General features: G+C 37.5%; 1 protein-coding gene across 9 annotated transcripts in view; it reads right to left on the bottom strand.

The window, feature by feature from the left end:
• Positions 1–203: 203 nt before the first annotated feature.
• Positions 204–17194, bottom strand: part of ZNF429 (zinc finger protein 429) — a 35067-nt gene continuing 18076 nt past the window's right edge. For 3 of the 9 annotated variants that reach the window (NM_001346914.2, NM_001346913.2, NM_001001415.4), the window contains 3 exons: positions 11088–11214; positions 10188–10283; positions 204–4592 (listed from right to left, as the gene is read on the bottom strand). In NM_001346914.2, coding sequence (NP_001333843.1) covers positions 2794–4592; positions 10188–10283; positions 11088–11121 — 1929 coding nt within the window. In that variant the 5' untranslated portion in view covers positions 11122–11214 and the 3' untranslated portion in view covers positions 204–2793. The other 6 variants (XM_047438765.1, XM_017026748.3, NM_001346915.2 and 3 more) reach the window with 5 other exon arrangements.

The following is a 17194-nucleotide window of genomic DNA, read 5'->3' as shown; positions in this document are numbered from 1 at the left end:
TATTACTCTTCAAAAAAATTAGGTGTATTCACACAAAGACACTTAATAACTGTATAATTTTCTTACATCTAAGATTTATCTTTACAGCCACACATGTGTACATTTAACTCTATGTAAATCAAAGCTAAAAGTCTGTGTGTGTTTGCAGGCAGAGAGGCCAAATGTTCAAATAAAAATATATTACAAATAATTGAAAATATCTATTTAAGACTCAGAAATGAGTTTATTTATACTTATATATAAATTTTTATACCACAAAGATAACCATGCAGTCAATAGCAATTTAATTGTACACTTTAAAATAACTAAAAGTGCATAATTGAGTTGTTTGTAAAAGATAAATGTTACAAGTAATGGCTACATAATTTACCCTGATGTAATTGATGTAATTATTACATATTGTATGCCTCTATCAAAATATGCCAGATTTGCATAAATATATACACATATTATGTACCCACAAAAAAATAAGAAAAAAATTTAAATATCAAAAAAAGGATAAATATTTAACCTATGGGAACAATATTAACTTATCTGCCAGTTAAAGCTACTGGCAAAAGAGATTACTAGAGATGCTATTCCACTATGTTACTAAATAGCATACTGCTACCTTCATTTAGCTACACCCTTGAGTAACGTGGGATAGGTTAAAGTTGATAGCATAATAATGCTTCATTAAATGCACAATAGTCTTAACATGGTAACAAATAAAATCAAATTTACATATAATTTAAAAATTTTGAAATATACTGCATTTTATAACATAAAAGCTCAATCACTAAAATGATTTACAATTTTATTATAAATTCACTTTTAACTAAAAAATATTTTCTATCACTGTAATACAGAGGCATATTACTCTGAACATCGACCTCATACATCACTCAATAAGTTAACCACAAAGAGCCTCTCCACTTAGATTTTCATCAAGCATCTTACATTTTAATGTCCTTACTTTTTTACAGAAGAGGCCATAATTTCCACCTAATGAGTCTATATGTGATGCAGCAATAATTGATCACATGCTTTCACATGTGAATAGGAACAATGAAACAGCATGAAGTAATTTGATACTTGAATTATATCATAATTTGCTTTTCAAAAATTTTATATATATACATATTTTTAAAAGCATACTTTGGGCTGGGTGCAGTGGCTCATGGCTGCAATCCCAGCACTCTGGGAGGCCAAGGTGGGCAGATCACTTGAGATGAAGAGTTTGAGACCACCCTGGACAAAATGGTGAAATCTCATCTCTACTAAAAATACAAAAAAAAAAAAAAATAGCCAGACATGCTGGTGTATGCCTGTATTCCCAGCTACTCAGGAGGCTGTGGCAGGAGAACTGCTTGAACCCAAAGGTCGAAGTTGGCAGCAAGCTGAAATTGTGCCACTGAACTCCAACGTAGGCAACAAAGTGAGACTCCATCTCAAAAAAATAAATAAAAAGTACACTTTGAATATAACTTTGCAAAATATCTTCCACTCTTTTAAAAGTTATATACAAATAATTTAACAACTTTAGTTTTATTTTCTATACTCAGCACTTTAGTGTAATGTCTCAAGTGTTTGTGTCTTAGTTGTTTCTACTGTAAATTCTGATATTCATGTAGACTTTTCTATGTATTAAATATCATATTCTATGTATTTAATACATGTATTCAATATCATACATATCTATGTATGATATTTATGTAGACTTTTTAAATTCAATTTTGAATTAAATATTTTTATACATATGGCCATATGCAAAAATATATGTTAATATAAACTCTCCATTGTTTCCTGAGGTATAGTTTTTGGGGAAAAAAAAGTTTTTCCAAATTTATTACACTTGCTGGATTTTTCTCCAATATAAATTTCTGATGTTGAACAAAGTTGGTGCAACTGCTTCAGGGTTTTCCTCTAGTATAAAATGTGTACAACAAGATCTGTGATACAAGTAAATGCACTATAACCCTCTTTACATTTGTAATGTTTTTCCTCAGACTAGTCTCATTCACTTTAAAGGATGATATTTTCTACAAGATTGTTTGACAGTAATTGCACTTACAATGCTCTTATTAAGTATCAACTCTCTGTTGTTAAGATGTGAACAGATTTTAATGGCTTTTCCACATTTTTTAAATTTGTATACCTTTTTTCAGGTATAAATGCTTTTCTATGCAATAAGATGTGAGCATTAGTTAAAACGAGTTTTGCCACATTCTACACATTTGTAAGGTTTCTCTCTACTATGAATTTTCTTTCTTTTATTTATTTATATATTTTTTAGACAGAGTCTTGTTTTGTCATCCAGGCTGGAGTGTAGTGGCGTGATCTCAGCTCACTGCTACCTCTGGCTCCCAGGTTCAAGCAATTCTCCTGCCTCAGCCTCCCAAGTAGCTAGGACTACAGGCATGTGCCACCACATCCAGCTAATTTTTGTATTTTTAGTAGAGATGGGGTTTTACCATGTTGACCAGGCTGGTCTTGAACTCCTGACCTCGTGATCCACCCGCCTCGGCCTCCCAAAGTGCTGGGATTACAGGCAGGCATGAGCCACCATACCTGGCCTATGAATTTTCTTTTCTTTTTTTTTTTTTTTTTTTTTTGAGATGGAGTCTGGCTCTGTCACCCAGGCTGGAGTGCAGTGGTGTGATCTTGGCTCAATGCAAGCTCCACCTCCGGGTTCAGGCCATTCTCCTGCCTCAGCCTCCCGAGTAGGTGGGACTACAAGTGCCCACCACCACGCCTGGCTAATTTTTTTTTTTTTTTTTTTTGTATTTTTAGTAGAGACGGGGTTTCACCATGTTAGCCAGGACGGTCTCGATCTCCTGACCTCGTGATCCGCCCACCTCTGCCTCCCAAAGTGCTGGGATTACAGGCATGAGCCACCACACCCATCCTATGAATTTTCTTATGTTGAGTAAGTCTTGAAGACCGGGTAAAAGCTTTGGCACATTCTTCACATTTGTAAGGTTTCTCTCTAGTATGAATTTTCTTATGTTGAGTAAGTCTTGAGGACCGATTAAAAGCTTTGCCACATTCTTCACATTTGTAGGGTTTCTCTCCACTATGAATTTTCTTATGACTACTAAGGTTTGAGGAGTGGGTAAAAGCTTTGTCACATTGTTTACATTTGTAGGGTTTCTCTCCAGTATGAATTTTCTTATGTTGAGTAAGTCTTGAGGACCGGTTAAAAGCTTTGCCACATTCTTCACATTTGTAAGGTTTCTCTCCAGTATGAATTTTCTTATGTTGAGTAAGTCTTGAGGACAGGATAAAAGCTTTGCCACATTCTTCACATTTGTAGGGTTTCTCTCCACTATGAATTTTTTTATGACTGTTAAGGTTTGAGGACTGCTTAAAGGCTTTGCCACATTCTTCACATTTGTAGGGTTTCTCTCCAGTATGAATTCTCCTATGGCTAGTAAGGTGTGAGGACCGGTTAAAAGCTTTGCCACATTCGTTACATTTATAGGGTTTCTCTTCAGTATGAATTCTCTTATGTCTAGTAAGTGTAGAGGAATAGGTAAAAACTTTGCCACATTCTTCACAATTGTAGGGTTTCTCTCCAGTATGAATTTTCTTGTCTTGAGTAAGTGTTGAGGAACAGGTAAAAACTCTGCCACATTTTTCAAATTTGTAGGGTTCCTCTCCAGTATGAATTTTTTTATGTCGAGTAAGTCTTGAAGACTGGTTAAAAGCTTTGCCACATTCTTCACATTTGTAGGGCTTCTCTCCAGTATGAATTACCTTATGTTTAGTAAGAGTTGAAGACCAGTTAAAGGCTTTGCCACATTCTTCACATTTGTAGGGTTTCTCACCAGTATGTATTCTCTTATGGCTAGTAAGGGTTGAGGACCGGTTAAAGGCTTTGCCACATTCTTTACATTTGTAGGGTTTCTCTTCAGTATGAATTATCTTATGTTTAGTAAAGGTTGAGGATATGCTAAAGGTTTTGCCACATTCATCACATTTGTAGGGCTTCTCTCCAGAATGAATTCTCTTATGGGTAGTAAGGGTTGAGTACCTGCTAAAGGCTTTGCCACATTCTTTACATTTGTAGGGTTTCTCTCCAGTATGAATTCTCTTATGGTTAGTAAGGGTTGAGTAGTGGTTAAATGCTTTGCCACATTCTTCACATCTGTAGTGTTTCTCACCAACATAAATTCTCTTATGGTTAGTAAGGGCTGAGGACTGATTAAAGGCATTGCCAAATTCTTTACATCTGTAGGTATTCTCTCTAATATGAATTTTCTTATGTTGAGTTAGTTGTGAAAGCATGCAAAATGATTTGCCACATTTTTTACACTGGAAAGGTTTCTTTCCAGTATGTCTTGTCTTGTATCTATCTGCATTTGAAAATGCATAAAAGACTTTTACATATATATCACAGTGATACATTTTGCTCTGGGTAAGTGTCAAACATTGGTTAAGTCCATTATAACCTCCTTTGTATAGCTTACAATCACCTACAGTTTTATAGCCTTTTCTTAATTGTAAGTTCTCATGTCCACGTTTATCATATCTCCTCAGTGTCACTTTTTGGAAAGAATCTTTTATGTCTTGCTCTGGCCAAAAGTCTTCAGCAAAATGAGAACACACAACTAAAATAAAATTAAAACAACAAATTACTTCACTTACTAGACTCAGATATATATACGTCACAAACAAAACCTCTAAAGTTATAAAAACTACGTAAGCAACACAGCATAGCAAAATACCAGATTCTAATTTCTTCATAAACATATAAATATAACAAAGACATACTAACCAAAATATATTAGTGGATAATTTATCAATAAGTTATATGTGTACAACGCCCCAGGTGAGTACAATGCAAAGAGTCACATAGAATGAAAAACATTTCTGTTACAGTTACCCAACACAGCTCTTCCTGTTCCCCAATAAAACACAGTGCCTTTGGAAGTAAATTGCCAGCTCCTCATTTTGTTTTTAAAAGACAAGAAATATATTGGCACATACATCTTTATTTCTGGCTTCTAGGATATTACCAGATGCTGGATTTAGCTTCCCACAACATAAACTGCTGAAAGAAATGGTGGTATACTTTGGTCAGGCGCGGTGGCTCATGCCTGTAATCCCAGCACTTTGGAGGCCAAGGCGGGCAGATCATAAAGTCAGGAGTTCGAAACCAGCCTGGCCAACATGGTGAAACCCTGTCTCTACTAAAAATACAAAAAATTAGCTGGGCGTGATGGCAGGCACCTATAATCCCAGCTACTCAGAAGGCTGAGGCAGGAGAATCACTTGAACCCAGAAAGTGGAGGTTGCAGTGAGCTGAGACCGTACCACTGCACTCCAGCCTGGGCAACAGAGCAAGACTCTGTCTCAAAAAAAGAAAAAGAAGGAAAGAAAGAAAGAAAGAAGAAAGAAAGAAAGAAAGAAAGAAAGAAAGAAAGAAAGAAAGAAAGAAAGAAAGAAAGAAAGAAAGAAAGAAAGAAAGAAAGAAAAGAAAAAGAAAGAAAGAAAGAAAGAAAGTAAAAAAGAAAGAAAGAAAGAAAGAAGAAAAGAAAGGAAAGGAAAGAAAAGAAAAGAGAAAGAAAGAAAGAAAGAAAGAAAGAAAGAAGGAAAGAAATGGTGGTATACTTCACAATGAGAGTTTGAGTCTGCTGAGACCAAAGGTAAATGTTACAGGAGTGGAGTGACTGCAGTACCACAGACAGGGAACAGGTGTAGCAAGTGATTACTGACTATTAGGATGATACATGAATACACTTCTTTAAAAAATAAAAACAAGGCCGGGCGCGGTGGCTCACGCCTGTAATCCCAGCACTTTGGGAGGCCGAGGCGGGCGGATCACAAGGTCAGGAGATCGAGACCATCCCGGCTAAAACGGTGAAACCCCATCTCTACTAAAAAAAAAAAAAAAAGAAAAAACACAAAAAATTAGCCAGGCGTGGTGGTGGATGCCTGTAGTCCCAGCTACTCGGGAGGCTGAGGCAGGAGAATGGCGTGAACCCGGGAGGCGGAGCCTGCAGTGAGCCGAGATCACGCCACTGCACTCCAGCCTGGGCGACAGAGCGATACTCCGTCTCAAAAAAAAACAAACAAACGAACAAAAAAAAAAAAACACAAAAAACAACTTTCCAGCTGAAAGCAAGAGATTCTCTCCAGTCAAAAGCAAAATATCCTTATTTGCACCTGGTGTATTCTGTTAGGACACAAATCAAGTCTTACTAAATTTAGGAATATTGGCTGGGTACAGTGGGTCATGCCTTTAATCCCAACACATTAGACACCAAGGTGGAAGGATCACTTGGAGCCACAAGTTTGAGACCAGGCCTGGGCAACATAGTGAAATCCTGTCCCTACAAATAATTAAAAACTGCACTAGCCAGACATGGTAGTGCATGTCTGTAGTCAGGAGACTGAGATGGAAGGATCACTTGAGCTCAGGAGGTTGAGGCTGCGTTGAGCCAAAATCATGCCACTGTACTCCAACCTGGGTGACAGAGTAAGCTCCTGTCTCAAAACAACAAATAAAATTTAAAAGACCAAAATTACACACTATGTTTTGTGGCCAAAACTAAATAAAACTAGGAACTAAAAGCAAAAGTAAAACTGGAAAATCCAAAAATATATGAAAATAAAACATGCTCTTCAACATTTTCTTGCTTAGGGGTCAAAAATTTAATTTTTCAAATATGTCAATACAACAGACAGTGATAAACACATTTAATATAATCCCTAAACAATCCCAATAGCACAGTTTTTTACAGAAATATTGTTTAAAATTGTAAAATTTGATCATAAACTATAGCCAAACACCCATGAAAAAGAATAAAGAGGCATTATACTTTTTGATTTCAAAACATATTAAAAGCTACAGTAACAAAAACAATGTGGTACTGACAAGACAGATGAAAGATGAAAGAATAGAATACACAGCACAGAAATATACCCTTCTGTATATGATCTGTTGTGTGCCATGAGCACACAACAGAGAAAAGAAAATCTCTTTAAAAAATAATATTGGAAACTGGATATCAATACAGCCTAGCCAACATGGGGAAACCCCATCTCTACTAAAAATACAAAAAAATTAGCCAGGTGTGGTGGCATACACCTGTAATCCCAGCTACTTGGGAGGTTGAGGCAGAAGAATTGCTTGAACCCGGGAAACAGGTTGCAGTGAGCTGAGACTACACCGGTACACTCCAGCCTGGGCAACAGAGCAAGACTCTGTATTGAAAAAAAACAAAAGAAACACTGGTAAAATAAAGTTGGGTCCTTTCCTTGAACCATATACAAAAAACATTTTAAATAAAATACTTGGACATTAAAAAAAAAAAGAACCACTAACAAATCCCTTAGAAAAAAATATAGAAGAAAGACATGACATTGGACTTGGCCGCATTTTCTTAGATACAACATTAAATGTATGAGCAAGAAAGAAAATAGAAAAATTTAACTGCACTAAAAAATTTCTGCACATCAGAGAAAACGTTCAATACAGTGAAAATGTCTCTTAGGAAATGGATGAAAATGTATGCAAATCACATGGATATGATTTAATATTCAGAATATATAAACACCTCTTGAAACTAAACAATAAAGTTGAATAATGTGATTTTAAAATGGGAAAACAACTGAACTAAATTTTCATCAAAAAAGACGCACAACTGGAAAAAAAGCATTTAAGAACACAAGATCACTAATTTGTAGAGATATGCATGAAAATAACAATGAAAACCAAAATCACCTCACATCCATTAAGAATGGAAACTGTAAATTTTTTTAAAAACACCAAAGCTGTTGATGATGCAATGAAAATGAAACCCATGTTCATTGTGGAAAACAAGAATGCAGCCATTACTTTAAAATGTTATGTTTCTCAAATACTTAGAAATGAAAAAAAAAAAAATTTGGACCGGGCAAGGTGGATCATGCCTGTAATCCTAGCACTTTGAGAGGCCGAGGCAGGCAGATCACCTGTCAGGAGTTCAAGACCAGCCTGGCCAACAGGGTGAAACCCTGTCTCTACTAAAAATACAAAATTAGCCAGGTGTGGTGGCACACACCTGTAGTCCCAGCTACTTGGGAGGCTGAGGTTGGAGAATCGCTTGAACCCGGGAGGCCGAGGTTGCAGTGAACCAAGACTGCACCACTGCACTCCAGCCTGGGTGACAAAGCGAGACCACCGTCTCCAAAAAAAAAAAAAAAATCCTCTCACATAGAGGCATCTTCTGTCTTATGCTTTTATATTTTTTAAGGATTCTACTTTCCCCTCAGTGATCTTTGTTCAAGCTTACAGTGAGCCAAAACCCTCTTCATGGCATATAATATACTGCATAATCTGACTGCTTTTTCATTGTTTTGGGGGACAAACAAGTATCTGCCTAATTTTGAAAAACTCTTTGTTAAACTACTTTTTAGATTCTCTTTTTGTATTATGTCTAAAATGTTTGAGAGTAGTGGTTTCTGTTCCAGTAGTGTTTTTTTGTTAATTTTTCTGCACATTCCACTATGTTTGTATTACTATAGTGTTGAAATATAGTTTGACATTATGAAGTATGATGTTCTTTTGCTTTCTTTTTCCTCAAGATTGCTTTGGCTAGTCAAAGTTTATTGTAGTTTCATGTAAATTTTAAAATTGCATTTCTGTGAAAAAAAAAACACTGAAATTTTCATTGGGAATTCACTGAATCTATAGATCACTTTGAATAATATGGCACTTCAAAAATATTTATTGTTTCAATCCATAGATACAAAATATTTTAAAATTTACGTCTTTTTAAATTTCTTTCATTGATATATTTTTAATTGTAAATACTTTTTACCTCCTTGGTTAAATTTGTTTTCAGAAATTTATTACTCTAATGCTATTGTAAATAAGATTGTTTTCTTCCTCTCTTCTATCAGATAGTTTAAGTGTATGGAACCATAACTTATACTTGTATGTTAATTTTGTATGTTGCTAATATACTAAGGGCATTTACTAGTTTAGACAGGTTTTAATGTACTGTTTATGGTTTTTTAATGTCAGATTACATAATCTACAAACAGCAACTTTTTACTTGTCTTCAATTTCAATGCTTTTTTTTTTTTTCTTTTTTTGAGACAGAGTCTCACTCCATCACCCAGGCTGGAGTGCAGTGGCATGAGCTTGGCTCACTGCAACCTCCGCCTCCTAGGTTCAAGCAATTCTCCCTGCCTTAGTCTCCCAAGTAGCTAGGATTACAGGTGCCTGCCACCACGCTCAGCTAATTTTTGTATTTTTTAGTAGAGACAGGGTTTTGCCAAGTTGGCCAGGCTGGTCTGGAACTCCTGACCTCAGGTGATCCAGCTGCCTTGGCCTCCTGAAGTGCTGGGATTATAGACATGAGCCACCGTGCTCAGCCTATTTTCTATTTTTTTGACTAATATTTATGCCACATACTTCCAGTACTATATTAAAATAGAGGCATTAACAATGGGTACAATACAGTTTTGCATTGGTGTCTGTGAATGTGAAGAAGCAGACACCTCTTCAATTTTTTATAAACTGGCCTCAGGAGGTAAGCCTCTTTTGTTGGGTCCCCAGGGTGCTGAGATGCCCTATGGATTTGTAATAGAGAGGGGTTGTAGCTTGGTCACAAGGCTGCGGGGTCTGTACTAGGGTCCACCTTTAGTTGGCTTGTTACAAGGGGTTTTGGTAGTTGTTAATCCCCATTTTATTTTTCAACAGAATGAATATTCTTCAGGACTTTGCTCTGTAGGGCAGTCACCAAGACGGGTGTTTTTTTTTTTTTGGTTTTTTTTTTTTTTTTTTTTTTTGAGATGGAGTTTCACTCTTGTTGCCCAGGCTGGAGTGCAATGATGTGATCTCAGCTCACTGCAACCTCCGCCTCCCAGATTCAAGCGATTCTCCTGCCTCAGCCTCCTGAGAAGCTGGGATTGCAGGCATGTGACACCATGCCCAGTGAACTTTTGTACTGTTAGTAGAGATGCAGTTTCATGATGTTGGCCAGGCTGGTCTCAAATGCCTGACCCCAGGTGATCCGCCCACCTCAGCCTCCCAAAGTGCTGGGATTACACGTGTGAACCACTGTGCCAGGCTGAAAGTTTTTTAGAACACAGTTTTTCAGAAAATATTTTCTTTGAAACATAGCTTCCCAAATCACATTGTTAAGGACTGGCTTTCTTATTGGCCTTGGGACCTCTCATCTGTGTTGTCTGTTGTGTTCACTCTCACCTACCTGGGGGTTCATCCACCATTTCATGTCGCTTCATCTTGCAGGGTTCTTTTTCTTTCTCTAGACAAGTGATTAGGTCTGGCTTAGAAACAGCAATACCTGTTTTATTAAAAATAAAGAAGATGAATCTTGCTTATATTCTGTAATTACCAATTTAGTAATGTGCTCAGTAAAGAGGATGTAATATAATATTCTAGTAAATTAATGCCCAAATACCAATTTATAAGAGAAATTTCTAAATCTTTAGAAAATATTTAAAATTTTTAGGTTCTTAATTTCATTGCCCAGTACTACTTAATAAAAAATCGATTGTGACAATTAGATTTTAAGGTGTGGGCAACAATATTTTAGGCCACCAAATTCCTGAAATTATCACTAATCAAGAGTACATAATACAAATCAGCTCAGGAATATGGAAAGTTCAGGTGAAGACAAAACATCTTGAAGAAATTCTTTTCTACATGAACAAATCCCCAAACTTTTTTTTTTTTTTTTTTGAGATGGAGTCTCGCTCTTTTGCCCAGGCTGGACTGCAGTGGTGCTATCTCCGCTCACTGCAAGCTCCACCTCCCGGGTTCACGCCATTCTCCTGCCTCAGCCTCCCGAGTAGCTGGGACTACAGGTGCCTGCCACTGTGCCCAGCTAATTTTTTGTATTTTTAGTAGAGACGGGGTTTCACCGTGTTAGCCAGGATGGTCTCCTGACCTCGTGATCCACCCGCCTTGGCCTCCCAAAGTGCTGGGATTACAGGCGTGAGCCAAGACACCCGGCCCCAAACTTTTCTTAAAAGCAGGAATCTGAAACTCATTTATGCAAAGCATAAATTACCAAAGAACATTCTACAAAGAGGAGAAATGAAACATTTAGGGTATATTAGGAATGTTGTATTGAAGTTATTCTCACCCAGGAAGACCAAGTTTCTGTAGTTCTCTAACATCACATTTCTATATAAGTTCTGTTGTGCTGTGTCCAGGCACTGCCACTCCTCCAGAGAGAATTCTATGGCCACATCTGTAAATGTCAATGGTCCCTGAAACACACACACACCAACAGAAGGAGAGAGAAAGAGAGAGAAATATATTGACCAAGTGCCCATGGGTAGAATTTTTTATTTAATTCAAGGTGAAATGAGAGAGTAAAGAGAACTGCTTCTGACTTATACAAGTGACTGAAATTATTCAATAAACTAATTTATAAACAGAAATGTTCTCTAATATATTCTCTAACTTTGAGAAAATAGTGGCATAAGATCCACAACATCAGTGTACACATGACATTTTTCTAAGTGATAAAGTATAAAATTAAGGGCATGAACAGAAACATACATTTTTGAGTGCTATGTTTACATCTTACAGAATGAGTTGTGTATATTTTTCAGATCAAAAAGACATGTTGAGTTAGAATTTACCTCTCACATTTTAATGTGTTCAATGAACTGAAGATTTTGTTAATGCAGATTATTTTTTCAGAAAATCTGGAATAAAGTCTGAGTTGCTGAATTTCTAACAAGCTCACCAGTAATGCCAATGTTTTTGATCCAAAAAGAATATTTTGTCAAACATTCAGTAAATGAAGGAAGCTGTGTTTTTCCCAGTTTTTTTGTCCTGTAAACAAAGATGAGAGCTTTCATTTTCCAAAGACAGATATATGCAAAGAAAACCTAAGGAAGAAGGGCAGCTGCCAGATTAAATGTGATGGCATCAGCTGCATAAAGATAGTTAATAATAAAGAAAAAATAATCAACTCTATAGTAAAACAGTCTGTCAGAGAGTTCTTTAACCAAGTGAATCATTAACATCAACTGCACTAGGACAAATTTTTATGATGTGCTGGTGCATACAGAAAGACATAGCCTCACTGATGTGATCTTGCTACCTAAAAGTAGATTACAGTCTGAATTTAACCATAAAGAAACATCAGTTTTATTCAAAGTTTAAGGTACTGATGACTCATGGGTTCTGTAATTTTTTTTTTCTTTTTTTTGAGACGGAGTCTCACTCTGTCCCCCAGGCTGGAGTGGAATGGCACAATTTCGGCTCACTGCAACCTCCACCTCCTGGGTTCAAGCGATTCTCCTGCCTCAGCCTCCACAGTAGCTAGGATTACAGGCACCTGCCACCACGCCCGGCTAATTTTTGTATTTTTAGTAGAGATGGGGTTTCACCATGTTGGTCAGACAGGTTTTGAACTCCTGACCTCAAGTTATCCACCCACCACGGCCTCCCAAAGTGTTAAGATTACAGGTGTGAGCCACTGCACCCAGTCAAGTGTTCTATAATTTTTAGTAATGATTTAAAGTAGTCTTTTTTTAGCACTCTAGAGAACAGGTACCTCCTAATATATATTATTTTTTAGAACTTTCTGGGTGATAAATGCCATCCTGTTTAAATAAGCATTTTGAAAATCCTGTTCTGCATAAAGCCAATGGAGAACACAGATGGAACCTCAACATTACATGTTCTCCATCTTTACTGAGGACCCCCACCTTTCCCTAATAGAAACCTTGAGTATCCACACCTCCTGTTTCACAGCCACAAGAGAACATTTTTAATATTGCAGATTAATTTATAATCGGTGAGAATTCTGCATGGCACATAAAAAGCTATGATGTAGAGAATGTAGAGAAAGATCTGGTATGTAGGAAGGAAATATTTTTCAGAGACCCTTGACTATCATAAGAATTTTAAAAAGTAGTTAAACTCATTAGGGAGGAAAAATACAAGTAGAGAAGTAAAGGCTTGCAAGTACTAAATGCATGACAGTCCAGGAGGCAGAGTGGACACAGCTCTTGATCTGGGACATGATTAGCTGAAAAATCGCCATTTATTCTTCTTTTTCCAATTTCTGTAAAATTCCTGCTCAGATGACATGCTCCAAACAAATCACACCTGCATCTTGAGACTATGCCTTTTAAAATGTCAACAGAACCTGTTTACCTGCTGCCACCACACCCACAGGCAGAAGAATCAAGACTTGCAAAAAAAGTCCACCCATTTCTGTTCTTAATAACAGACATTTAGGAACAATGCACTGTTCCATGGAGACACATTTCTTCTTTCCTGTCCTCAGGTGCCCTCCCCTGCCACAGACAACAGCAGTTTCTGCTACAATATTGGTAGTATGGACTGCACTGCCCTGTCCCTACCAAACCCAAACAGAACAGGCCCTGTAACCACCCTTTAGTGCAAAGGTGGAACTCTCATGAATGTGTCTTGAAGCTTTCATACTTGATTCTGGCCTCACCTTAGAATCACATGAGGCACTTAATTAAAACAACATGGATGCTTCTATGCAGAACCTGTTGAAAGGGCACAAGTAAAGAGATTTTTGTAAATTGGCTGTGGAATTCTAATTAGAAACCCCGGCTGATAACCACTTGGCAAAGCATTGCCCCTCGAGCTGTAATGAGCTTATAAATCACTTGGTAATTTTGACCCCATTCTACATAATGTGATTCTGCAGGTCTGAAAAGGGTCCAAAATGAGTGTTTTAAACAAGTCCCATCGGTGCTGATGTAACTCCCCCTGGGCTCACCATTAGTATTAGTTAGACAAAGCAGGCACAGCACAGAGTCCCTTCCACTCAGGACTCTTGTCACAACACAAAAAGTTCTGATACAAATGAAGACAACTCATCTGTACACTAAAGTATCATATTCTTTGCTGACTCTTTAAAGTTTACAGAACAGGTGGCCTACTTACTTAAAGAGCCAAAGTGGAATGGGCTCAGTCATGGTGGATGGGAGGCAGGACTAGATTGCAGCTCCGACTTGGACAGAGAAGTGTGTGGAGGTTCACAGTGTGAATTTTAGCTCCAGATTGACTGCAAGAACAAACTAGCAATCCCAAGAGGACCCACAGACCATCTGAAGGAAGCAGACTGCTCCTGCAGGACCTGAGAGACACCCCCAAGTGGGCTGATACAAGGTTGTCTGTCAGAAATTATTTATTTACAAAAAAAATTGATTATTAATTGGGTATATATACATCGTTAAGGTTTAGAGTATGGGTTATAGTGCACAGTGCAGCACTATTAATTTAATTTATAGCCACTGGTGGCAATAGTAAACAGTTTCAAGAGATAACTACATAGTTCAAAGAGGAAAGACGTAATTGTGTTCTCATTTTAATGTCTCTCTGAGTTTGACAACTATTAGGTTGGTGCAAATGTAATTCTGGTTTTTGCCATTACATTAAAAGGTAAAACCACAATAACTTTTGCCCCGACCTAACAAGAGGATTTGCATTCCTCAGATAAAAGGTTTTCTGTTCTCACTGATATGTGGGAGCTAAACTACGAAAACACAAAGGCATAGGAATGGTACAATGGACTTTGGGGACTTTGGGGGAAGAGTGGGAGCAGGGCAAGGGATAGAAGACTACAAATGGGTGTAGTGTAAACTGCTTGGGTGATGGGTGCACGAAAATCTCACAAATCACCACTAAAGAACTTATGCATGTAACCAAATACTACCTGTACACCAGTGACTTATGGAAAAAAAAAAGTCAAAGTGAAGAAACCTCTCTTTTCATAACAGATTAAAGTAGCTTCTCAAAAACCTGAAAAAAATAGTAAAATAAAGTTTACAGAACAAACAGAAGGCAGCAATGTCTGAATGAGTCTGCATTTGAAAAATAGCATATGCACAGGTACTAATGCAATGTTTGTTAAGCAGGTACTATGTGCTCAAGAGTATGTTACAGAGCACTGTGCTGGGCATAACATACTGTGTGATTTCATCCTCATAACACCCTGGGAGTTGGTACTAAGTGTTTAATAATTCCCAGGATTTAGATAAAGGACCCAGAATTTTAATTTTTCTGTTTCTCTGTCATTGATTTTTAAAAAATAAAATGTATAGAATAAAAGCTAAATATAGACAGATGAGAGGAATACAGAAATTAAGAGTTTAATGTAGTTTAGAGGAATTTTTATTGTGTTTATATTTAATTTATTGTGACTTGTGGAGCAACTACTGGATCTGCAGGAATAGAAAACAAGTTGCTAAATGGAATGTCTTGGTAAGCACTGATTTTAATAAAAAATTAAAAATACGTATTTTTCCACTTATCTGCTTTTGAGTTTCACGAAATCAGAGCACCAGCTCTAGAAAGGTAGCAAAATATACCACCCAAAACTCTGATCTCTTCTAATCAGTTCTGTGAGGCAAGGCTCCAGAGTGGGGCCAGACCAAAATAAGGCATCCAAAAAGGGTGAATCTGAACAGAACTGGGCCAAAGAGTGGACCCTGTGTAGAATTCTGTTCTCTATGCCAGTGGGGGTACTTCCAGTTCTGTTTTTCCTAGACTTACCTAAGAAAAACTTAAATTCCAGAGTTTGTGTAATTTTAATTTTTTTTAGCTACTGTGCTGTCAATTTTATAACATATACTAATAAGCAATTTAAGCAAATCTCTTAAGGTTTTCTAGGGTAATTTTATTAGAAGATAAATATATATTCTTAACAAGGTAAGAAAAATAGAAATAATAATAAAAATTCTTCTGTCCATAAATATCCCTTCAGCTGATGACATCAGAAGTTACAACAATGTAAAGAAAGTGGCCCAAATAAAGCCCAAGTTTTTTTGCACACACGTATTCATTGTACCAACCATATGATGCTTCATTCAACCATTTATCCAGTTGATAGTCTAAACCAAGAGTTTTTGGATGGTAGGGACCATGACTGCTTCATTTTTTTTCTAATGGTCATATTAATGAAGCAATTAGTTTATCTGCTTTGAGTCTCCAGACCTCCTCCTCGTCTTTTACCCAAAGTACCAGAAAACTAGAGAAACTCTCATCTGGGTACCAACCAAACACATCTCTTGTATGAGGAAAGAAACAAACACAAGATGATTCATTTCTCTTACATTGAAACAGAAGCGGAATTAACCACTCTTATCATCCTGACACAGTTCTGCTCTGGACATCATCAAATGTCTGAAATATACCTAGCTAATTGAGAGAGGGTTCCCAGTGACCCTGTGCTGATGGCCCAATAATAAGAAAGGCAGAAGAGACTCAGGCTCATTCTAAATAGAAAATGGAACTGCCCTGGCAGAGCTCCAGAACCTGGATCACCCGTCCTGATTTGCTAGCTCTTGGGTAAGAGGAAGGACAAGAATACTCTACTACAGTGTTCACTTTTTTTTTTTTTTGAGATGGAGTCTCGCTCTGTCACCCAGGCTGGAGTGCAGTGGCATGATCTCAGCTCACTGTAACCTCCGCCTCCTAGGTTCAAGCGATTTTCCTGCCTTAGCCTCCTGAACAGCTGGGATTACAGGCATGTGCCACCACACTCGGCTAATTTTTGTATTTTTAGTAGAGATGGGGTTTCACCATGTTGGTCAGGCTGGTCTCCAACTCCTGACGTCGTGATCCGTCTGCCTTGGACTCCCAAAGTCCTGGGATTATAGGCGTGAGCCACCACGCCTGGCCCAGCATCACATTTTACAGGTAGGTATAGTTGTGTTATGGCTCTGGATACTTTGTGGCCTTGATCTCACTCCTACGATGCTTGTTTACACTTACTGAATCTGACATTAGATTCTATTTATACCAGAAGCCTCTCACACAACTGAAGCAGGTCATTGGACAAGATCTGAAAAGCTCAAAGAGCCACACTCTCAAAAGATGTCTTTAAAATGCCCATGTTGACATCTCACAATGCAGAAGATGCCTCCTGTTAGTTTTTTTTACATTCTGAATCCAAAGTGTGGCCTTGTCTTGTAAATCCCAAGAAGAGGCCTGGCCTTATGTGCAGATCCTAGATGGGATCAACCTGGCTCTGCATCCTTGGGTATTAGAGCAAGCACACAACAATCAAAGGAGAGATCTCCTCATAGAGGCTGCTCTGGCACACTCTAGATTATACATCTATCTAGAAGGTAGAAGATGAGGCAACATGAACAGAAGTAGGCAGTTTATTTGGGCCAAGCTTGAGGATTGTAAACTGCGGGCAAAGATTCAAGTTGACTGGAATCTACACTTCAATTAGCAGCACTTACA

Source organism: Homo sapiens, chromosome 19 (assembly GCF_000001405.40).
Source record: "Homo sapiens chromosome 19, GRCh38.p14 Primary Assembly".
NCBI lineage: Eukaryota > Metazoa > Chordata > Mammalia > Primates > Hominidae > Homo > Homo sapiens.
This window is presented reverse-complemented; position numbering and strand designations above follow the sequence as displayed.